At 38.1% G+C, this 24,725-nt stretch overlaps 1 protein-coding gene across 4 annotated transcripts in view, besides 4 other annotated features; it reads left to right on the top strand.

Annotated features, from left to right (window-relative positions):
* The window catches only part of DNAJC1 (DnaJ heat shock protein family (Hsp40) member C1), a 247,183-nt gene that overhangs the window by 112,762 nt on the left and 109,696 nt on the right, over positions 1–24,725 (top strand). For 2 of the 4 annotated variants that reach the window (NM_022365.4, XM_011519614.4), the window contains exon 8: positions 8,530–8,687. In NM_022365.4, coding sequence (NP_071760.2) covers positions 8,530–8,687 — 158 coding nt within the window. Of the gene's footprint in view, positions 1–8,529; positions 8,688–11,085; positions 13,519–24,725 lie in introns of those variants that run through there. The other 2 variants (XM_047425628.1, XM_017016536.3) reach the window with 2 other exon arrangements.
* Positions 1,865–1,924: a silencer, noted in NCBI's record as "silent region_2198". NCBI's record gives its function as "represses an Ori minimal core promoter by ATAC-STARR-seq in GM12878 lymphoblastoid cells {active_cell/tissue: GM12878}" and the evidence as "EXISTENCE:reporter gene assay evidence [ECO:0000049][PMID:35858748]".
* Positions 1,865–2,083: a biological region, named in NCBI's record as "MPRA-validated peak902 silencer".
* Positions 1,883–2,083: a silencer, noted in NCBI's record as "peak902 fragment used in MPRA reporter construct". NCBI's record gives its function as "represses an SCP1 promoter by STARR-seq MPRAs in K562 erythroleukemia cells {active_cell/tissue: K562}" and the evidence as "EXISTENCE:reporter gene assay evidence [ECO:0000049][PMID:32103011]".
* Positions 21,816–22,344: an enhancer, noted in NCBI's record as "NANOG hESC enhancer chr10:22157554-22158082 (GRCh37/hg19 assembly coordinates)". NCBI's record gives its function as "activates a minimal SCP1, AML or CMV promoter by ChIP-STARR-seq in primed H9 embryonic stem cells {active_cell/tissue: H9 hESC(primed)}" and the evidence as "EXISTENCE:reporter gene assay evidence [ECO:0000049][PMID:30033119]".

Here is a 24,725-nt window from a genome sequence, read left to right as displayed (position 1 = left end):
TCTGCCCACCTTGGCCTCCCAAAGAGCTGGGATTACAGGTGTGAGCCACCATGCCCAGCCAAGTAATTTAAATATCTCTTTTATCTTGTTGGCATCTGTTACCTTTTGTCATTCAAATTGAGGCATTCTTGGTTCTTGGTGTAACAACTGATTTTTGATTTAAATTTGGACATTTAGGGGTATTATGAAACTTTGGACCTTATTTAAGTCTTCTGTTTTAGCTGGTCTTCTCTGGCAGTACTCTAGCCATGGAAGGGGTAGTGCTGCCTGTTACTGCTAGGTAGAATTGAAGTCCAGGTTTCCTATGTGGTCTGTTTAACAGATGAGGAACGGAGCGTTTGTGGATTCTCAGGTGGGTATAGATATTCCTGCTTGCCTCTAGGCCTCCACTGAAAACCGCTGCCTGGAAGGAGGAGCAGGAATACCTACTTACTGCACCCCACTTGATCTCCACTGACATTATATGGGGATGGCTTTGTTACCATTGGGCAGTTGTGAAAGCCCTGATTCTTCAGTAGGCTTCCTTTCTTTTTTTTTTTTTTTTTTTGTAGGGGGGGATATGGAGTCTCACTGTTTCGTCCAGGCTGGAGTGCAGTGGCGTGATCTTGGCTCACTGCAACCTCTGCCTCGCAGGTTCAAGCGATTCTCCTGCCTCAGCCTCCCCGGTAGCTGGGATTACAGGCACACACCACCATACCTGGCTAATTTTCATATTTTTAGTAGAGACAGGGTTTCACCATGTTGGCCAGGCTGGTCTTGAACTCCTGACCTCAGGTCATCCACCCCCCCCCAGCCTCCCAAAGTGCTGAGATTACAGGTGTGAGCCATCACACCAGCCCACTAGACTTCCTCTGTAACCACACTGCCTGATAGAGGAAGAGACACCTATTACTTCTGGGTGGTTCTGGAGGTTCAGGCTACCCATATAGTCTCCACTGACTTTATTAGCAGGAGAAGGATCCGCCTTACCTTTTAGCCTTCTCTCTCACATCACCCTGGTGGGGAGGTTGGGTGCCTCATTACAGGCTGGCAATGGCAGCAGCCTAGGTTTCCCATTAGTCTTTGCTCTTATGCTGGGTGGTGGGATGGGGGTAACACTACTTTCTGTCTTGTTTGCCTGTATTAGAGTGGTTATTGTCTAAAAGCTTTATCTTCTAGACAAAAGATAAATGCCTATGCTGTCTCTTTTTTGACCCTTTAGCTAGAGAGAGCAGGCTTTTGTTTTTGTTTTGCCTGTATGTGTGTGTCTGTGCCTGTTAGTGTTTCTGGGTTGCTAGTTTCTGCAGCACCAAGTCTGAGATACATAAGAAACACAAAGAAAACTCGTAGAACTGACCACTGTGGGTATTCTTGAGTCCTGCAGTACCTAGCTGGTCAGGCTTCTCTCTTAACTTTCAAATTCTTCTTGTGTTTGTTGTATATATAATGGTTACTATAAGATATGAGTAAACAAATAACTTGTTTACTCTTTTATCTTTTTTATAATTCTTAGTGAGAGGAATGTGGAAAAGTTCTCCATTTTTTCTGAAATGGAAGTTTTATATTAATATCTCATATGGTTGGGATCTGTGCTCCCACCCAAATCTCATGTTGAAATATAATCACCAGTATTGGAGGTGGGGTCTGGTGGGAGGTGATTTGATCATGGGGGCAATGTCTCATGAATGGTTTAGCAAATCCCCTTCGTGCTCTTCTTGAGACAGTGAGTTCTCATGAGATCTGCTTGTTTAAAAGCGTGTAGCAGCTCCTCCCTCTCTCTCTCGTTTCTGCCCCTGCCATGTAAGACACCTGTTCTCCCTTTGCCTTCTGCCGTGATTGAAAGTTTCCTGAGACTTCCCCAGAGGCAGAAGCATTCACACTTCCTGTACAACCCGCAGAGCTGTGAGCCACTTAAACCTCTTTTCTTTATCAGTTACCCAGTCTCAGTTATTTATAGCAATGTGAGAATGAACTAATACATTTTGAAAAAAGATTTTTTTAAAGCTTATTTATTTATGTATTTTTTAAACTTTCAGGTTCAGGGGAACATGTGAACCTAAAAGTTTAGAAAAATAAATAAGCTTTAAAAAAGCTTACATAGGTAAACTCATGTCACAGGGACTTGTTGTACAGATTATTTCATCACCCACATATTAAGTCCAGTACCCAATAGTTATCATTTCTACTCCTCTCCCTCCTCCCACCCTCCAACCTCAAGTAGACCCCAGTGTCTTTTGTTTCCTTCTTTGTGCTCATAAGTTCTCATAATTTAGCTCTCACTTGTAAGTGAAAACATATGGTATTTGGTTTTCTATTCTTGGTTTAGTTTGCTAAGGATAACAGCCTCCAGCTCCATCCATGTTCCTGCAAAAGACATGATCTCATTCTTTTTATGGCTGCATAGTATTCCATGGTGTATATGTACCACATTTTATGGCTGCATAGTATCCCATGATGTATATGTACCATATTTTCTTTATCAAATTGCTAATTGATGGGCATTCAGGTTGATTCCATGTCTTTGCTATTGTGAATAGTGCTGCATTGAACATCTGTGTGCATGTGTCTTTACGGTAGAATGATTTACACTCCTCTGAGTATATACTCAGTAATGGTATTGCTAGGTTAAATAGTAGTTCTGCTTTTAGCTCTTTGAGGAATCACCATACTGTCTTCCATAATGGTTGAACTAATTTTCACTCCCACCAACAGTGTATAGGTGTTCCCTTTTCTCCATAACCTTGGCATCATCTGTTATTTTTTGACCTTTTAGTAATAGTCATTCTGACTGGATAGAGATGGTATCTCATTGTGGTTTTGATTTGCATTACTCTAATAATCAGTGATATGGAGCTTTTTTTCATGTGCTTATTGGCTGCATGGATGTCTTCTTTTGAAAAGTGTCTGTTTATGTCATTTGCCCACTTTTTAATGGGGTTGTTTGTTTTTCTCTTGTATATTTATTGAAGTTCCTTATGGATCCTGGATATTAGACCTTTGTCACATGCAGAGTTTTCAAAAATTTTCTCCCATTCTGTAGGTTGTCTTTTTACTCTGTCGATAGTTTCTTTATGCTGTGCAGAAGCTCTTAAGTTTAAATCTCAGTTGTCAATTTTTGCTTTTGTTTCAATTGCTTTTGGTGTCTTTGTAATGAAATCTTGGCCCATTCCTACATCCAGGTTGCTATTGCCTGTGTTGTCCTCCAGGTTTTTTATAGTTTTGGGTTTTATGTTTAAATATTTACTCCATCTTTAGTTGATTTTTGTGTATGGTGTAAAGAAGGGGTCCAGTTTCAATCTTCTGCATATGGCTAGCCAGTTATTCCAGCACCACTTATTGAATAGGGAGTCCTTTCCTTATTGCTTGTTTTTATCAGCTTTGTCAAAAGTCAGATGGTTATAGGTGTGCAGCCTTATTTCTGGGCTCTCTGTTCTGTTCCATTGGTCTATGTGCCTGTTTTTGTACCAGTACCATGCTGTTTTGGTTATGTAGCCCTGTAGTATTGTTTGAAGTAAGGTAGTGTGATGCCTCCAGTTTTGTTTTTTTTGCTTAGGATTGTCTTGGCTATTCAGGCTCTTTTTCATTTCATATGAATTTTAAAATAGTTTTGTCTAGTTCTGTGAAGAATGTCGTTGTTAATTTGATAGGAATAGCATTGAATCTGTAAATTACTTTGAGCAATATGACCATTTAAATGATACTGATTCTTCCTATCCATGAGCATGGGATGTTTTTCCACTTGTTTGTGTCTTCTCTGATTTCTTTATTTGAGTTTTGTAATTCTCGTCATAGAACTCTTTCACCTCCCTGGTTGGCTGTATTCCTAGGTATTTTATTCTTTTTGCGGCAGTTGTGAATAGGATTGCCTTTCTGATTTGACTCTAGGTTTGGCTGTTGTTGGAGTATAGGAATGCTAGTGATTTTTGTACATTGATTTGTATCCTGAAACTTTGCTGAAGATGTTTACCAGCTAAAGGAGCTTTGGGCCGAAACTATGGGGTTTTCTAGATATAGAATCATGTCAATTGCAAACAGGGACAGTTTGGCTTCCTCTCTTTTTATTTGAATGTGCTTTATTTCTTTCTCTTGCCTAATTGCTTCAGCTAGGACTTCCAATACTGTGTTGAATAGAAGTGGTGAGAAAGGGCATCCTTGTCTTGTGCCAATTTTCAAAGGGAATACCTAGTTTATTGAGAGTTTTTTTTAACATAAAGGGGTGTTGAATTTTATTGAAAGCTTTTTCTGTATCTATTCAGGTAATCATGCAGTTTTTGTCTTTAGTTCTGTTTATGTGAAGAATCACATTTATTAATTTGCTTATGTTGTACCAACCTTGCTACCTGGGGTTGAAGAATACTTGATTGAGGTGGATTAGCTTTTTGATGTGCTGCTGGATTCAGTTTGCAAATATTTTGTAATTTTTGCATCACTGTTAATCAAGGATGTTGAACTGAAGTTTTTTTGTTGTTGTGGCTCTGCCAGGTTTTAGTATCAGGATGATGCTGGCCTCATAGAATGAGTTTGGGAGGAGTCCTTCCTCCTCAGTTTTTTGGAATTGTTTCTGTAGGAATGATACCAGCTGTTTGTACATCTGGTAGAATTCAGCTGTGAATCCATCAGGTCCTGGCCTTTTTTTAGTTGGGAGCCTAATTTATTACTGATTCAATTTTGGAGCTCATTATTGGTCTATTCAAGGAATCAATTTCTTTCTGGTTCAGTCTTAGGAGGGTGTATGTGTCCAGGAATTTATCCATCTCTTCTAGGTTTTCTAGTTTGTGTGCATAGAGGTTTCTGTAGTAGTTTCTGTTGGTTATTTTTACTTCTGTGGGGTCAGTGGTAATGATGACACCCTTCATCATTTCTAATTGTGGTTTTTGGGGTTTTCTCTCTATTAGCCTAGCTAGTAGCTTACCTATCTTGTTAAATTTTTTTTTAAAATCCATTCTTGGATTTGTTTATCTTTTGAATGGATTTTCTTGTCTCTGTCTCCTTCATTTCAGCTCTGATTTTGGTTATGTTTTGTCTCCTGCTATCTTTGCAGTTGATTTGTTCTTGCTTCTCTAATTCTTTCCGTTGTGATGTTAGGTTGTTAATTTGAGATCTTTCTGACTTTTTGATGTGGGCATTTAGCGCTATGAATTTCCCTCTTAACACTGCCTTAGCTGTGTCCCAGATATTCTGGTATGTTGTATCTTTGTTTTCATTAGTTTCAAAGAACTTCTTGATTTCTGCCTTTATTTCATGATTTATCTAAAAGTCATTCAGGAGTATGTCATTTAATTTCCGTGTAATTGCATTCTTTTGAGCAAGTTTCTTAGTCTTCTGTTTTTATTGCACTGTGGTTTGAGAGTGTGTTTAATACGGTTTTGGTTCTTTTGCATTTGCTGAGGATAGTTTAATGTTCAATTATGTGATCAATTTTAGAGTATGTGCCATGTGGCAAGGAGAAGAATGTATATTCTGTTGTTTGGGGGTAGAAAGTTCTGTAGAGATCTATCAGATCCATTTGGTTCACTGTTTAGTTTGGGTCCTGAATATCTTTGTTAATTTTCTGCCTCAGTGATCTGTCTAATACTGTCAATGGAGTGTTGAAGTCTTCAACTATTAATGTGGGTGAGTCTGTGTCTCTTTTTAGGTCTCTAAGAACTCGCTTTATGAATCTGGGTCCTCCTGTGTTGGGTGCATATATATTTAGGATAGTTAAGTCTTGTTGAATTGAACCCTTTGCCATTATGTATTGCCCTTTTTTTGTGTTTTTTAATCTTTAAATTAGGATTGCAACCCCTGCTTTTTTCTGTTTTCCATTTGCTTGGTAGTTTTCCCTTCATTTCTTTATTTTGAGGCTAAGGGCATCGTTACTTGTGAGATGGGTCTCTTGAAGACAGCATGCCATTGAGTCTTGTTTTTTTATCCAGCTTGCCACTCTGTGACTTTTAAGTGGGGCATTTAGCACATTGACATTCAGGGTTAGTATTGATATGTGTGGATTTGATCCTGTCATTGTATTGTTAGCTGGTTATAATGTTGGCTTGTTTGTGTGGTTGATTTATAGTGACACTGGTCTGTGTATTTTTGTATTAGCTTATAGCAGTATTTCATTTCTGTATTTAGTGCCCCTTTATAAATGCTTATTTAAAAAGACATCACTTGCAGTTGTGATGAAACACCCCAGAAATAAATACAAACAATTGAATTTATTTGCTTTTTAAAAAAATAACTGATTCTCTATATGTAGCCCAAATTACTTCTGCTATTGCTCTACTTCAATGGTGATTTCATACTTCTCATTGTAAAAGCATCATCAATAATTATTCAGTCATTTCTCCTAATAGTGTTTACTGTGTTAATAGTTTCATCTCTCTATGAAGAAATAGTAAATAGTCATACACACACAAATACATACATACCCACATACAGTTATATTTGAGTACTTTTGTTTCTGGGAGAATTGCTGGGGAAAAGGCTGTATATGTTAATTTTAATGGATATGTTTAGACTGCTTTCCAGAAAGGCTCTAATAGAATAATACATTTCCTCCACCAATTTAGAAGTAGCCTTTTCCCTGCCAACAGTACATCTGAATTAGATTTTAAATTTGTACCCATATGATTGGTATAAAATTATATCTTGGTATTACTTAATTTGTATTTCTTTAACCTTTAGAGTGTATGAGCCTCTTTTCTTATTTGTTAGCCACGTGGGCACTCAATTGTGGATTGCCCATTTATGACCTTTTGCCTATATTTTTCTATTGGGTGGTTGTCCATTTATAAAATCTGTTTATAGCAATCTTCTGTTTATACTCTGAATTGGATACATCCTTTCCAAATCTATTATTTGTCTCTTGATTTGTTTACTCTTTTATCTTTTTTGTAACAGCATCTGGGTTTTCATTCTTATTTAGATGTCCCCTTCCTTTAAATAGTACAAGTAGATTTTAAGATTTCTTTTTGCAAAATTTTTATTGTTTTGGCTTTTAAAGTCAACTCTCTTCTCTATCTGGAATTTATTTGTGTATACAGTGTAAGAGTTTTCTTTTAAATGGATACTCAGTTGTGTAAGCATTACTTAATAAATTGTTTTCCCACTAAATTGAAATATAGACAATCCTAGACTTATAATGATTTGACTTACAATTTTTTGACTTTATGATAGTGCAAAAACAATACTGTACTTTGAATTTGGAATCTTTTCCTGGACTAGCAATATGCGGTAGGATACTCCCTCATAATGCTGGGTAACAGCAGCAAACTGCAGCTTCCACTTAGCCATATGATCATGAGGATTAAAACTGATCCTCTACAGTGTACTGTGTCACTATGTTATTTTGCCCAACTATAAGCTAATGTAAATGTTCTGAGTACACTTAAGGTAGACTAGGCTAAGCCATGAAGTTAGTTTTATTAAATGCATTTTCTAATTAAGGATGTTTTCAATATATGATAGGTTTATCAGGATGTAATCCCATAATAAGTCAACAAGCATTGGTATTTACAGATTCTCTATTCTCTTCTAGGAATTTGTCTATTCCTATGCCAGTATATACTGATTTTGTTACATTGGCAGTATAGTACATGCAAATACACACATACACACGTACACATGGGGTGGTGAAAATACTCTTATGAGGCTGAGTTTGACTATAGTAATTAAGAATGGAGTTGCTTCTCAATGTCAAGTCTCCAGTTAAAATGGTGTGTGTGTGTGTGTGTGTGTGTGTGTGTGTGTGTGTGTGTGTTTGAGATAGAATCTCACTCTGTCACCCAGGCTGGAATGCAGTGGTGTGATCTTGGCTAACCCCACCCTCCACCTCCTGGGCTCAAGTGAGTCTCATGCCTCAGCTTCCCAAGTAGTTGGGATTACATGCATGTACCACCACACGCAGCTAATTTTTGCATTTTTAGTAGAAGAAGGGTTTTGCCATTTTGCCCAGGCTGGTCTCGAACTCCTGGCCTCCAGTGATGCACCTGCCTTGGCCTCCCAAAATGCTGGGATTAGAGCCGTGAACCACTGCTCCTAGGCCTAAAATGGGATTTAATAAAGAGCCCAATGGATGGCCATCGATTCATAACTACTCTTGATGTTGCCAGATCATATTTCACCTTTGTAAAATATTGAAAAATAAATGTATACCATTTAGTGAGAGCCAGGTTTTTTTTATAGATGAGAAAGTTGATACTGTTCTAAGTGTTAATTTATTTGCCCAGTATTATTTACTTATTACATGGTAAAGTTAGGGTTACAATATTAAATTGAAGCTCTTTTTATTGTGCCAAAATGAAATATTTTATGAAAAGTACTTTGAAAACAAAGGTGTATGCAAATTGATATGATGGCTATCTCATGATCATCTCCACAATAGTAGCAACTCTGAGTTTTATTTAGAAACAATGCAATGGTTTATGTACAATAAAAGTTATAGCCAATTATTTATAACAGAACAATTATATTTTGATGTTTTCTTTCAGGATATGGTCTATGAATAAAATGTTAGAAATTAATTTTATTCTTTAAAAATCTCAATAATTGGTTCTTTTAAACATTTTTTAGAACAGAAGAAAGTTAAAAAACCAAAACCTGAATTTCCTGTATACACACCTTTAGAAACTACATATATTCAGTCTTATGATCATGGAACTTCCATAGAAGAAATTGAGGAACAAATGGATGATTGGTTGGAAAACAGGAACCGAACACAGAAAAAACAGGTAAATAAGCTTTATAAAACTTGTTTTGAGTAAAACATGTACAGAAAAGCACATAAAATACAGGGTTAGCTCACGATATAGTGCTTTGTTTTATTGCACTTCACAAATACTATTGTTTTGTTTTGTTTGAGACAGAGTCTCGCTCTGTCACCCAGGCTGGAGTGCAGTGGCGCAATCTCAGCTCACTGCAAGCTCTGCTTCCCGGGTTCATGCCATTCGCCTGCCTTAGCTTCCCAAGTAGCTGGGACTACAGGTGCCCACCACCACGCCTGGCTAATTTTTTGTGTTTTTAGTAGAGACAGGGTTTCACCGTGTTAGCCAGGATGGTTTTGATCTTCTGACCTCATGATCTGCCCCCCTCGGCCTCCCAAAGTGCTGGGATTACAGGTGTGAGCCACCGTGCCTGGCCGGTTTTTTTTTTTTTTTTTTTTTTTTTTACAAATTGAGGGTTTGTGGCAGCCCTGAATTGAGCAAGTTTACGGGCACCATTTTTCCAAAAGCATCTCCTTCCTTTGTGTCTCTATATAACATTTTGGTAATTCTTGTGGTATTTCAAACTTTTCATTACTATAACATCTGGTATGGTCATCTGTGATCAGTGACCTCTGACGTTACTGTTATAATTATTTGGGGTACCGTGAAGTGCACACATGTAAGACAGCAAACTTAATTGGTAAATATTATGTATATTCTGGCTGCTCTACTAATCAATCATCCTCTAGTCTCTTTCCGTCTCCTCTGGTCTCCCTACTCCCTAAGGCACAGCAGTATTGAAATTAGGTCAATTAATAACCCTACCATGGCTTCCAAGTGTTCAAGTAGAAGGAAGAGTTGCATGTGTATCACTTTACATAAAAATGATTAAGCTTAGTTCGGAAGGCATGGTTGAAAGCCAAGATAGGCCAAAAGCTAGGCCTCTTGCACCAAACAGTTAGCTAAATTTTAAAATGCAAAGGACACATTCTTGAAGGAAATTAAAAGTGCTGTTCCAGTGAATACATCAAAGGTAAGCAAGCAAAACAACCTTATTGCTGATATGGAGAAAGTTTGAGTAGTCTGGATAGAAGATCAAATCAGCCACAACATTCTCTTGAGCCAAAGCCTAATCCAGAGCAATGCCCTCTCTCTCTTCATTCTAAGAAGGCCAAGAGAAGTGAGGAAGCTGCAGAAGAAAAGTTGGAAGCTAGCAGAGGTTGGTTCATTAGGCTTAAGGAAAACAGCTGTCTCCATAACATAAAAGTACAGTGTGCAGCAGCAAGTGCTATGGAGAAGCTGCAGCAAGTTATCCAGAGGATCTAGCCAAGATCATTGATGAAGGTGGCTACACCAACCAGTAGATTTTCAATGTAAATGAAACAGCCTTCTGCTGGAAAAAGATAACATCTAGGACTTTCATGGCTAGAGAGGGGAAGAAGTTGATGCCTGGCTTCAAAGCTTCAAAAGACAGGCTTACTTTCTCGTCAGGGAATAATGCAGCTGGTAACTTTAAGTTGAAGCCAGTGCTCATTTATCATTCTGAAAATCCTAGGGTACTCAAGAATTATGCTAAATCCATTCTATCTGTGCTCTATAAATGGAACAATAAAGCCTGGATGACAGCACATCTGTTTACGGCATGGTTTACTGAAGCCCTATGTGGAGACTTACTGCTCAGTAAAAAAATATTTTTTTCAAAATATTACTGCTGATTGACAGTGTACCTAGTCACCCAAGAGCTCTGAGGGAGATATGAAAGGAGATGAACATTGTCTATATGCCCATACCACAACATCCATTCTGCAACCCATGAATCAAGGAGCCCTTCCAACTTAAGTTTTATTATTTAAGACATATATTTTATAAGGCTGTAGGTGCCATAGAGAGTGATTCCTCTGATGGATCTGGGCAAAGTAAATTGAAAACTTTCTGGGAAGGATTTACTATTCTAGATGCCATTACAAACATTCATGATTGATGGGAAGAGGTCAAAATATTGACATTAACAGGAGATTAGAAGAAGTTTATTCTAATCCTCATGGATGACTTTGGGTTCAAGATTTCATTGGAGGAAATAACTGCTGATATGGTGTGAATAGCAAGAGAACTAGAATTAGAAGTGGAGCCTGAAGATGTGACTGAATTGCTGCAATCCCATGGTCAAACTTGAAGAGATAAGGAGTTGTTTCTTATGGGTGAACAAAGAAAGTGGTTCTTGAGATGGAATCTATTCCTGGTGAAGATGCTGTGAAAGTTGTTGAAATGACAACAAAGGATTGAGAATATTCTGTAAGCTTCACTGATAAAGGAACTAGCAGGGTTGGAGATGGTAAAATGCTATCAAGCAGCATCACATGCTACAGAGAAATATTTTGTGAAAGGAAGACTTAATGCATCAAACTTCATTGTTGTCTTATTTTAGGAAATTGTCACAGACACCCCAACCTTTACCAACCACCACCCCAGTGAGTCAGCAGCCACTAACATGAATGCAAGACCCTCTACCAATAGAAAGATTATGACTTGTTGAAAGACTCAGATGGTTATTAATACGTTTTAGCGGTAAAGTATTTTTAAATTATGTACATTGTTTTTTGGACATAATGCTATCACACACTTAATAAACTAAGCTACAATGTAAACTTAGTTTTAAACATTTTTTTAAATTATTATTATTTTTTTGAGACAGAGTCTCTCTCTGTCGCCCAGGCTGGAGTGCAGTGGCATGATCTCGGCTCACTGCAACCTCTGCCTTCTGGGTTCAAGCGATTCTTGTGTCTCAGCCTCCTGAGTAGCTGGGATTACAGGCAAGCGCAATCACGCCCTGCTGATTTTTGTACTTTTGGTAGAGATGGGGTTTCACCGTGTTGGCCAGGCTGGTCTCAAACTCTTGGCCTCAAGTGATCCGCCTGTCTCAGCCTCCTAAAGTGCTGGGATTATAGGTGTGAGCTAACGCGCCTGGCTTATAAACAACTTTTATATGTACTGGGAAACAAAAAAAATTGTGTGGCTCATTTTATTACAATATTAACTTTATTGTGGTAGCCTGGACCTGAACTTGGAATATCTCTGAGGTATGCATGTATAGATATGCAGCTCAGTGAACTATCACAGGTGATGCAAGTTAACCATTGCCAAGTTCAATGACTAGAACATTGCCATTGTGCAGAAACCATGCTTTCTGCCACTATTTCCTTCTCTTCCACAAAGATGATGACATTCCTGACTTCGGAGTAGTTTTACCTGCTTGTTAGTTTATAAATAGCATCATTTCCTATGTAGTCCTTTGAGTATGATTTCCTCTATTCAGTGTATTTGTGAGATTTATTCATAATTGCATATAGCAGTAATTTTCATTGCTGTATAATACTTTATAAATATAGCACAATTTATTTTTGTTGGAGAAATGTGGTGTTTTCAGTTTGGGGCTATAATGAATAATTTTTCTGTGAACAGTCTTGTGCATGCCTTTTAGTATGTATATGTGTAAATTTCAATTTTTGGAGTTAGTTGCAGGGTCAGAGCTCAACTTCAGTAAATACAGTTGATCCTTGAAAAATATGGGTTTAAACTGCATAGGTCCACTTATATGTGGATTTTTTCCAAAAAATATTTTGGAAAAATTTTAGAAGATTTTGGGTAATTGTTCAAATCTCAAACCATGTAGCCTAGAAATACTGAAAAAATTAAGAAAAAGTTAGGTATGTCATGCATAAAATGTATGTAGATACTAGTGTATTTTATCATTTACTACCATAAAATATATACAAACCTATCATAAAAAGTTAAAACTTATCAAAACATACACAACTACTTACTGTACATGGCACCATTTGCAGATGAGGGAAATATAAACAAATGTAAAGATGCAGTACTAAATCATAACTGTGTAAAATCAACTGTAGCACACAGTGTACCTACTATACTACTATAATAATTTAAAACACCTCTCGTTGCTGTTGCAGTAGGCTCATGTGTTGCAAGTGTTGGCTTAAACCTCCCGATGATGCTAATCATCTCTGTGTGAGCAGTTTGTCTCTCCAGTAAATTGCATAGCATAGAAAATGTGATCTATCTGGGTTCTCATGTATTTTTTATCATGTTTAGTAAAATACTGTAAACCTTGAATAACACCATTGGGCCTATGGAAAGTACCACTAGTGATGCTAGGAGTGTTCTCGAGAACCAGAGGAAAGTCATGACATTACAAGAAAAAATTGAATTGCTTTATAAGTATAGTAGAGTGAGGTCTGCACCTGCTGTTGGCTGCCATTTCAGACAGACAACAACGTGAACTTAGGGTATTGATAAATACAGTACATTACTATAAAGGTATTTTCCTTAAGATTTTGTTTTCTCTAGTTTATTGTAAGAATGCAGTACATAAGCATGCAAAATATGTGTTAACTTATTGTCTGCATTATTAAAGCTTCCAGTCAACAGTAGGCTGTTAGTAGTAAAGTTTTTGGGCAGTCAAAAGTTATACTTAGGTTTTCAACTGACCAGGGGTTGGCGCCCCAACCTCCATATTGTTCAAGGGTCAGCTGTACTTTTAAATTGTTTTCCAAAAGTTTGTGTCAATTTATACTTTAGCAGCAGGATATGAATATTCCAGGTACTCTATATTTTTGCCAATGCTTGGTCAAGTCTTTTATATTTTATCCATTCTGGTAAGTATGCAGTGATACCTAATTTTGGTCTAATTTGCATCCTTTGATGAATAAGACTGAACACCTTTTCTTATGGTTATTGGATACTGATATCTTACTAAGTGAAGTGCCTTTCCAAATCTTTTTTAATTGTGTTGCCTTTTTGTTTTTAAGACTGGATTATAAAGAGTTCTTTCTGTATTTCAGAAATGAGTGTTTTGCACATATTTTCTCCCATTGTGCTTGGCCTTTTTTTGTTCTTAGTGGTGTCTTTTGATGACTAGAACTTACTAATTATATTAATCAGTCTGCCTTTTCCTTATTTGGTGTTTTCTATGTTCAAATATATATATATATGTATATATATATGTATTTTGTTTTTGGAGACAAGGTCTCACTCTGTCACTCAGGCTGAAGGACAGTGATGCAATCACGGCTCCCTGCAGCCTCAATTTCCCAGGCTCAAGTGATCCTCACACCTCAACCTCCTGAGTACCTGAAACCACAAGCATACACCACCACACCCGGCTAATTTTTAAATGTTTTCTAGAGTTTGGGTCTCCCTGTGCTGCCAAGTCTGGTCCAACCTCCTGGGCTTAAGTGATCCTCCTGCCTCAGCCTCCCAAAGTGTTAGGATTACAAGCATGAGCCGCCACACCTGAACAAACAAATATTTTTCTATCTCAAAATTATAAAGATTTTTCAAATCCTTCTAGAAGCTTTATTATTTGACTTAAACATTTCAATTAACAATATCCTGGAATGTTTTGTTTGTTTGGCATTAAGTAGTGATCAAGATTAATGTTTTGTTCCAAAAGTTCTCCAAACCCTTGGCCTGCTACAAATTATTTTAAAAATTGCTTCCTACAGCTCTACAAAGGTCAGTTTAATCATAATCCAAGTGTCCATAACTGTGTAGGTCTGTTTCCACATGTTCTGCTTAGTTCCATTTATCTACTTGTTCATCCTTGTGCTACTACCACACGGTCTTAATCACTGTAACTTCATGATAGGTATCTAGTACAGTAATTTTCCAATTTTGTTTTCCTTCTTTAAGATTGCCATTTTACATTTTCATATAAATGTTTAATGCAGCTTGTTGTTTTCCACAAATTATTCAGCTGAGATATTTAATTGGGATAACAATTATATATGGATCAGTTGTGGAGAAATTGACATTCAAATTGTATTGACTCTAAAACCCATAAATAGATCCATTAATTTAGATCTTTTAAAGTTTTTTCAGGCTGGGCACAGTAGCTCATGCCTATAATCTCAGCACTCTGGGAGGCTGAGGTGGGCAGGTCTCTTGGGGTTAGGAGTTCCAGACCAGCCTGGGCAACATGGTGAAACCCCACCTCCACCAAAAAATACAAAAATTAGCCAGGTCTGGTGACACGCACCTGTGATCCCAGCTACTCGGGAGCCTGAGGCAGGAGAATCTCTTGAACCCAGGAATCGGAGGTTGCAGTGAGCAGAGATCATGCCACTGCACTCCAGCATAGGCGACAGAGCAAGACTGTCTCAAAAAAAAAAAAAAATTAACGTTTTTTCAATAATGTGTTGCAGCTTTTTGTACATATGGGATATTTTTTCTTACATTTATTTTTTGTTTTTAGATGATTATTGTAAGTGGCATTGTGTCTCAAATTTCACTTTCTAATTATATTTAGTATATAGAATTAAAACTGATTTTTGTCTAACAACCTTGTTAAATTTTATTTATTTATTTGAGACAGAGTCTCACTCTGTCACCCAGGCTGAAGTGCAACAGCATGATCTCACCTCGCTGCAACCTCCGCCTCCCAGGTTCAAGTGATTCTCCTGCCTCAGCCCCTGGAATAGCTGGGATTACAGACGCCTGCTGCCACACCCAGCTAATTTTTGTATTTGTAGTAGAGATGGGGTTTCGTCATGTTGGCCAGGCTGGTCTGAACTCCTGACCACAAGTGATCTGCCTGCCTCGGCCTCCCAAACTGTTGGGATTACAGGTGTGAGCCACCACGCCTAGCTTATTTTTTAATTCTAATGGTTTCTCTGTATATTATACATTTTTCTCTTATTTGTGTTGATTAGAATCTCCAATACAATATAGAATAGAAGTGATGATAACAAGTATCCTTGTTTCATTCCCAATCTCAAAGAAAGCTTTCATTGCTGAAAATCTTTATTTCATCATTGAAATTGTTTATTTAACTTGTGGCTGGTTGTGATGGCTTACACCTGTAATCCTAACACTTCAGGAGGCTGAGGTGGGAGGATTGTTTGAGGTCAGGACTTCAAGACCAGCCAGGGAAACCTAGGAAGACTGCATCTCTACAAAAAATAAATGAATTAGCCAGGCTTGGTGGTGCACAACTGTGGTCTCAGCAAGTTGGGAGGCTGGGGCACGAGGATCTCTTGAGTCCAGGAGTTTGAGGCTGCAATGAGCTCTGATCACATCACTGTACTCCACTGTCTCAAAAAAAACTTTTCTCGCTGGGCGTGGTGGCTGAAGCCTGTAATCCCAGCACTTTGGGAAGCTGAGGTGGGTGGATCACCTGAGGTCAGGAGTTCAAGACCAGCCTGGCCAACATGGTGAAAGGCCGTCTCTACTACAAACACAAAAAATAGCCGTGTGTGGTGGTACGTGCCTGTAATCCCAGCTACTTGGGATGCTGAGGCAAAAGAATCGCTTGAACCCGGGAGGCAGAGGTTGTAGTGAGCCAAGATCACACCACTGCTCTTGAGCCTGGGTGACAGAGCAAGACTCCATCACACACACACACAAAAAAACAAAAACAAAACAAAAAAACTTTTATCATGTTACTATTAAATATGATGTGTGCTATAGGCTTTTTATAACATTTTTGTTGAAATGTACTTGACAGAACATAAAATTCAGCATTTAAAAATGCACAGACACTTCAGTGGTTTTTAGTCTGTTTAGCTTGTGCAACCATTACCACTCTCTGATGCTAGAACATTTTCATATCATCAGAAAATAAAATAAAACCATATCTATTAGCAGTTAGCAATTCTCTGATCTCCCCTCTTCTGGCAACCACTAACCAACTTTCTGTCTCTGGATTTGTCTATTCTGGACACTTTATATAATTGAAATTATACAATATGTAGCCTTTTATATTTTGCTCCTTTAATTTGGCATAATGTTCTCATGGCTTATTTGTAGTGTAGCATATAGCAGTACTTTGTACCTCATCTCTCTCTTTTTTTTTTTTTTTACAGACCAGGTCTTACTCTGTTTGCTCTGTTGCCCAGGCTGCTGGAGCACAGTGGCATAATCATGATCATAGCTCACTGCAACTTAAATCTCCTGGACTCAAGCAGTCCTCTCACCTCAGCCTCTTGAGTAGCTAGGACTACACACGTGTGCCACCAAGCTTGGCTAATTTATTTTTTTTGTTTGGACGGCATCTCACTATGTTGCCCAGGCTGGGCTTGAACTCCTGGCCTCAAGTGATCCTCCCTCTTCGGCCTCCCAAATTGCTGGGATTACAAGAGTGAGCTGCTTTGCCTGGCCTTCATTTCTTTTTGTGGCTGAATAATATTGTATGAATATGTCACATACTATTTATTTGTTAATCAGCTAATGACATTTGATTACATTCTGGGTCTTTTGGCTATGTTACAGCTGCTGTGAACATTCTAATACAAGTCTGTGTGAACATAGTTTTGTGGTTTCTCTAGGGATTACAATTAACATCTTAATTCATAGCTGTCTACTTAGAATTAATGCAAATTTTAAAAAGTACAAAAACTTTGCCCCTGTTCCACTGCCCTTTATGCCTGTTCTTATTATTTATTATTGTCACAGATTAAATCTTTAGATATTATGTTCTCATCAACCTAGATTTGTAGTTACTGCTTTATGCAGTTGTCTTTTGAATTAGGTTTTTAAAAAGAAAAGGAATTACAAGCCAAAAATGCCTTTATAGTGTCTTTTCCACTTACCTATGTTTATACCTTTCTTGGCATTTATTTTTCCATAGGGAGTTGAGTTACTGTCCAGTGTTATTTTATTTCATCCCTAAGGACTCCCTTTCGCATTTGTTGTAGGGCAGGTGTGCTAGCAGTGAACTCTCTCACTTTTTATTTTACTGAGAATATCTTGATTTATCCTTCATTTTGAAGGATAGTTTTTTCCACATATATTAATTCTTGGTAGAATTTTTTTTCACCACTTTTGATTACATAAGCTATTACCTGCTGGCCTTCATCGTTTCTGATTAGAAATCAGCTGTTAATCTTATTGAAGATTTCTCAAAATCATGAGTTACTTCTTTGGGGCATTCAGTATTCTCCTGTCTTTAGCTTTGATGGTTTGATTATGATGTTTCTTAATATGGGTCTGTAGCAGGATGAGCCGCAGGCAAGAACCCCTCAGACACCAAGTTGTAGAAGGAGAGGGCTTTATTTAGCTGGGAGCATTGGCGGGCTCACGTCTCCAAAATCCGAGCTCCCCAAGGGAGTAATTCCTGTCCCTTTTAAGGGCTTACAACTCTAAGGGGGTCCACGTGAGAGGGTCGTGATCTATTGAGCAAGCAGGGGGTACGTGACTGGGGGATGCGTGCACCGGTTATTAGAACGGAACAGAACAGGACAGAGATTTTCACAGTGCTTTTCCATACAATGTCTGGCATCTATAGATAACATAACCGGTTAGGTCAGGGGTCGTTCTTTAACTACCAGGCCCAGGGCACGGCGCCGGGCTGTCTGCCTGTGGATTTCATTTCTGCCTTTTAGTTTTTACTTCTTCTTTCTTTGGAGGCAGAAATTGGGTGTAAGACAATATGAGGGGTGGTCTCCTCCCTTAGGTCCATTGGAATTTATCCTGCTTGGAGTTCATTGAGCTTCAAATTTTGGAAGATTTAGACCATTATTTCTCAAAATATTTCTTACCTGCTCTCTCCTCTTTCTCCCACTCCTCCCCACCACCTTCTGGCACTTCCATTGTTCATATATTGATATGCTTAATGATGTTTCTGAAGATTTATTCATTTTTCCTTTATTCCTTTTTATTCTGTTCCTCAGCCCAGATCATTTCAATGCACATATCCTCAAGTTTGCTGATTCTTTCATTTCCTGCTCAGATCTGCTGTTGAGCCCCTCTAGAGAATTTTTTATCTCAGTTATTACACTTTTCAACTCCAGAATTTCTATTTGCCCTTTAAATAACTTAATCTGTTGATATTCTGAATTTGGTGGTGCATTGTTCCCATACTTTCATTTAATTCTTTAGACATGGCTTCCTTTAGCTCATTGAACATATTTAAAATAGATGATTGGCCTGGCACGGTGGCTCACGCCTGTAATCACAGCACTTTGGGAGGCCGAGGCAGGCAGATCACCGGAGGTCAGGCGTTTGAGACCAGCCTGGCCAACATAACCCTGTCTCTACTAAAAACACACAAAATTAGCCGGGTGTGGTGGTGGGCACCTGTAATCCCAGCTACTTGAGAGCTTGAGGCAGGAGAATCACTTGAACCCAGGAGGTTGAGGTTACGGTGAGCCAAGGTCACACCACTGCACTCCAGCCTGGGCAACAGAGTGAGACTCCGTCTCCAAAAAAAAAAAAAAAAAGATGATTTAACGTTTTGTCTAGAAAGTTCATTGTCTGGTCTTCCTCAGGCACAGTTTCTATTTTTTTCTTTATGTCAGCCATACTGTCTCATTTCTTTGCATAGCCTGTAATTTTTCATTGTTGAAAATTGCACATTTTGGCTGGGCACAGTGATTCACACCTGTAATCTCAGCACTTTGGGAAGCTGAGGCAGGAGGATCACTCGAGGCCAGGAGCTCCAGACCAGCCTGTCCAACATGGTGAAACCCTCTCTCTACTAAAAATACAAAATTAGCTGGGTGTGGTGGTGGACAGCTCCTCAGGAGGCTTAACCACAAGAAGCGTCTGAACCCGGGAGGCAGAGGTTGCAGTGAGAAGAGATCACGCCACTGCACTCCAGCCTGGATGACAGAGTGAGACTCTGTCTCAAAAATAATAATAATAATAACGAAAATTAGACATTTTAAATGTTATAAATCAGCAATTATGAAAATCAGATCTCTACTTTTTAAAGGATTTGTAGTATTGGGCTTGTTGTAGTTGTTTGTTTTTAGTGAGTTTTCTGAACTAATTCTATGAAGTCTCTATTTTTTGTTATGTGTAGCCACTGAAGTCTGTTACATTAGCTGGGTAATCAGCTAATAATTGGAAAGAGATTTTCATAAATGCCTGGAAGCAAAAATTCTTTCCATCTTTACCTTGGGCTCTGTATTGGTTTACAATTCTGCCTTAACCTTTTTTTTTTTTTTTTTTCCCCGCTTCTACATAGCCTTAATGTCAGCAGCAGGTGAGAGCTTAGCGCCTTCTCAGAACTTTCCTGAGTATGTGCGCAGCCTTGAACATGCACATGGCCTTCTAGGTTCCCAGGAATGTCAACATTTCATGCCTCAGCCTTTCCTCTCAAACTTTTTGGTTTGCCTATTGTTTGCACCAACTGTTTTAATAACTTCATGCATCATACAAAGACAATATTCTGTAAATTTTTTTAACAAATGCCCCCAGGGAAACAGCCTTAGCATAAGGCTAGTTTTAAGTTAAGGAAAATAAATACAAGCCTTTTAAACCTGTCTTCCAGGGAGGTACCAAACAGGACAGAACAAATAATTTCCATTCTTTGCAAGTTAGTTCATTCTGTTCCTTCTAGTACTGGTAATACAGGTTGTGATGTTCACAGGTTGTGGTCACCCAGGAACAGTGGGTAGGACTAGAATAAATTAATGTGCCGTAAAGTTACTGTTCTGATCAAAAATCATATGTCTGTCTTTCTGTCTGTCTGTATTTTGTTCTTTCTTTCTTTTCTCTCTTTCTTTCTCTTTTTTGATATGAGGTCTCGCTCTGTTGCCAACGCTGGAGTGCTGTGGCGCCACCATAGCTCACTGCAGCCTTGAACTCCCAGGCTCAAGCAATCCTCCCACCTCAGCCTCCCAAGTAGCTGGGACTACAGGCATGTGCCACCATGCCTGGCTAATTTTGTAATTATTTTCTAGAGATGGGGTCTCCCTACATTACCTAGGCTCGTCTCCAACTCTTGGGCTTAAGCAGTCCTCCTATCTCAGCCTCCCAAAGTGTTGGGATTACAGGCATGAGCCACTGTACCAGGCTCTAGCCTGGTTTTCTTGAGTGTATCTTACTCATGATGCTGCAAGCCTTTTGTTAATTTCTGGAGTTCAGAAAAAGTCGATTATATAGTTTTGGCTTTTTGTTGTTGTTGCTTTTATGGAGGGGTGGAATTTGGAGTTTCTTACTCTTCTGATTTTGTCCACATCAGTCTAAGTTTTTAAAAAATCAAGTTGAGAAGTTTTCTTTCTAGTTTTGCTAAAAAATTTTTATTTATTACAAATGAATATTGTTAAGTATTATCAAATATTTATTTTTGCATCTATTAAGATGATTGTGTGATTTTTCACCTTTGTTTTGTTAATGAGATAAAGTATACCAATTGATTTTCTGGCATTAAATCACTTTATTTTTCTGGAATGAACCTTCTTTGGTCCTATGAAATATTATTCTTTGTTATTTGATTTGATTTGCTATCTTTTTAGGATTTTTGCTTTTATGTTTATGAGAGAGATTCACCTGTGATTTTCTTTTCTTATTTGTCAGGTGTGGTGTCAGTTACATGCTTGACTTATAAAATACGAATTTTTTTATCAAGTTTTTATTTTAAAATAAATAAAATTATAGATTGATGGGAAGTTTCCAAGACAGTACAGAATTCCTCTGTACCTGTCACCCAGTTTTTCCTAATGGTTACATCTTTTGTAACTGTAGTACAATGTCAAAACCAGGAAATTGACATTTGTACATTGGCTGTTTATAGTTGTATGTCATTTCATCACCTATAGATTTATTAACCACTTCTCCAAACGAGGTATAGAACTATTTCATTGCCACAAAAATGTCACTCATACTTCTCCTTAATAATCACACCTGTTGATGAAAAAAGCCAAGTTCAGTTAAATATTTAAAGAGGTTTATTCTGAGCCAAACGTTAGCAACCATGGCCCATGACACAGCCTCAGGAGGTCCTGAGAACAGGTGCCCGAGGTGGTTGAGTTACAACTTGGTTTTATACATTTTAGGGAGACAATAGTTACAGGCAAAGGTATAAATCAATACGTATAAGGTATACATTGGTTTAGCTCAGAATGTCAGGACATTTCGAAGTAGGGGCTTCCAAGTCAAAGATTTCCTGATTGGGAATTGATTGAAAGCATTAAGCTTTGTCTGGAGAATTGAAGTCAATATAAAGAAATGCTTGAGTTAAGATAAGGGGAGTTGTAGAAGCCAGGGTTCTTGTTATGCAGATGAAGCCTCTAAGTAACAGGCTTCAGAGAGAATAGATGGCAAATGTCTCTTTTTTTTTTTTTTTTTTTTTGAGATATGGTCTCATTCTGTCACCTAGGCTGGAGTGCAGTGGTGTGGGCAACTGTCTTATCAGACCTGAAAAGGTGTCATATTCTCCAGAAGAGATATCTGGAAAAGACCTAGTAAGGGAAGGAGATTCTCTGCAGAATACAAATTTTCCCCACAAGAGACGGCTTTGTAGGGCCACTACAAAAAGTGTCAAATAAATGTATTTGGGGACAAAATACTTTGATTTCCTTTAAGCCCTGTTCCTTTCTTGTGATAATATACCAAAGGTTGGAATTTGGTATCCTATTGCTACAAAGAATCTGTTTTGTCAGTCTTATGATCTCCATTTTAATGTTAATTTTTGGTCAGTTGTGCCTAAACTCCAAAGGGAGGAGGGTATAATGAGGCATATCTAACTTCCCTTCCCATCATGGCCTGACCTAGTTTTTCAAGTTTTCTTTGGGATCCCTTGGACCTCAGTGGAGGTCCATAAATTTGGTTTGGGGAGCTTCAAATTTTAGTTTTGGTTTACATACCTATCCCCTACTCACCCTCCTTAACCTCTGACAACCAATTCTCTACAGTTTTGTCATTTTGAGGGTCTAATGACATTGATGATCTAATATCATTTTGAGGATCTAAATGGAATCATTCAGTATGTGACCTCTTGAGATCAACTTTTATAGTTAGCATAATGCCCTTGAGATTCATCCAAATGTTTGAGTGTATCAGTAGATTTCTTTTTATTGCTGAATATTCCATTGTATGCCTGTACTACAGTTCATGTAATTATTTCTCTATTTAAGAATATTTTTGGCCGGGCATGGTGGCTCACGCCTGTAATCGCAGCACTTTGGGAGGCCGAGGCAGGTGGATCACCTGAGGTCCAGAGTTTGAGACCAGCCTGACCAATATGGACAAACCCATCTCTACTAAAAATACAAAATTAGCTGGGCATGGTGGTGCATGTCTGTAAGCCCAGCTACTCGGGAGGCTGAGGCAGGAGAATCACTTGAACCCAGGAGGCGGAGATTGTGGTGAGCCAAGATCATGCCATTGCACTCCAGCCTGGGCAACAAGAGCGAAACTCCGTCTCAAAAAAAAAAAAAGAATATTTTCATTGTTTCCAGTTGTTGTTTTTTTTTTTGTTTTTTTTTTTTTGGAGACAGAATCTTGCTCTGTCACCCAGGCTGGAGTGCAGTGGCGCGATCTTCTCAGCTCACTGTAACCTCTGCCTCCTGGGTTCAAGCAATTCTCCTGCCTCAGCCTCCTGAGTAGCTGGGATTACAGGTGCATGCCACCATGCCCAGCTAATTTTTTGTATTTTTAGTAGAGACAGGGTTTCACCATGTTGGCCAGGCTGGTCTCAAACTCCTGACCTCAGGTGATCTGCCCGCCTCGGCCTCCCAAAGTGCTGGGATTACAAACGTGAGCTACGGCACCCGGCCTGTCACCCAGTTTTACACTAAATATGGATGTTCCTGAAACTGTCATAATACTGGTAGGTGTGTGATTTTTGTATGTTAATGAGCATATAATGAGGTTCTAGGTGAAACCTAGGTCAAATCCAGTGCCATGTGGGAACCAGTTGGTCTTAGCCAGCTTGATCTACTCCTGGGTTTTCAGGGTCTTATCGGTCCCTAGCTGCAGCTATTTCAATAGATTCCTTTTGCTAGTCGTGTGAAACTGCTGCCTGAAATTTTCTATTCTCCCGCGATCACCTTGTATTATTCCTCTCAGGGACCACCTTGTATTATTCCTTTCTCAGTATGTGGCTCTTGAGCAATTGAAATTTGACTAGTATGACTGAGAGACTAGATTTTAAATTGTGTTGGCCTGTAAATACTTTAAATTTTACTTTAAATAGTTTCAACTGACAGCTACCATATTAGACAGCACACATCTGTAGGCTGTGTAATGATGTCCTCCTTTTCATTCCTAATATTGGATATTTGTATATTCTTATATTCGCTCGCTGTCTCCTTTTCAGGCCATTAAGTTACTGGTCTTTTCAAAGAACCATCTTTTGCCTTTTTGAGTCTGTATATTGTATGCTTGTTTTCTTTGTTACTGATTTCAACTGTTTTATTTTTTCTTTCATTTTACTTTGAGTTTAATTTGCAATTTTTATCTCTCCTCTAAAGATGAAGAATTACTATACTGATATTTAGACTTTCTTGTAATATAGGTATTAAAGGCTATAAATGTCCCTCTAGGATCAGCATTAGCTGAAAAGCCAGTTTTAATAATTTGTGTTCTGATTTCCCATTTACTTAAAACATATTTCTAGTTCTTCTTGTGATTGTTTTCTTGACCCATTGATTCTTTATGAGTCTGTTTCTTAATTTACAAACACATGAGGATGTTCTAGTTATCTTTTTGTTATTAATTTCCAGCTTAATTGTTTTGTAATAGAACACACTCTGATTTCAGTCCTTTGAATTGTGTTGACACTGGCTTTATGGACTACTCTGTAGTCAGCTGTTTTAAATATTTGATGTACTGAGAGAATTGTATATCTGTGGGTTCAGAATTATATATATGCCAATTAATTAAAGCCTGTTAACTATGTTTTTAAATCCTTTGATTATTATTAGTTTGGGGTTGCTTGTTTGACCAGCTACAGCCAGAAATGTTAAAAACCTGTTGAGATAATGTATGTGTCAGTTTTTTCTTGCTCAGTTAACATTTTGCTTTATATATTTTAAGGCTATTAGTGCATTTGAATTTCACATTTTTATATCTTTGGTGAATCAAAGCTTTTACTATATAAAGTGTTGCAGTTTATTTCTAGTAACTTTTCTGCTTTGGGTTTTTTTGTTATTGTTTAATATTAATATAACTAATCGAGCTTTCTTTTGGTTTTTGTTTGCATGTTATATATTTTTCCATTTTGTTACATCTTTGTTTCTTATATGTTAAGTGTGCCTGCTTTTGTGCAGTTTAAAAAACTCTAGTGTGACAGTATTCAAATTTTATTTAAAGCATTCATTC

Source organism: Homo sapiens, chromosome 10, assembly GCF_000001405.40.
Source record: "Homo sapiens chromosome 10, GRCh38.p14 Primary Assembly".
NCBI lineage: Eukaryota > Metazoa > Chordata > Mammalia > Primates > Hominidae > Homo > Homo sapiens.
The sequence above is the reverse complement of the archived record's forward strand: the minus strand, read 5'-3'. Positions and strand labels throughout refer to the sequence as shown.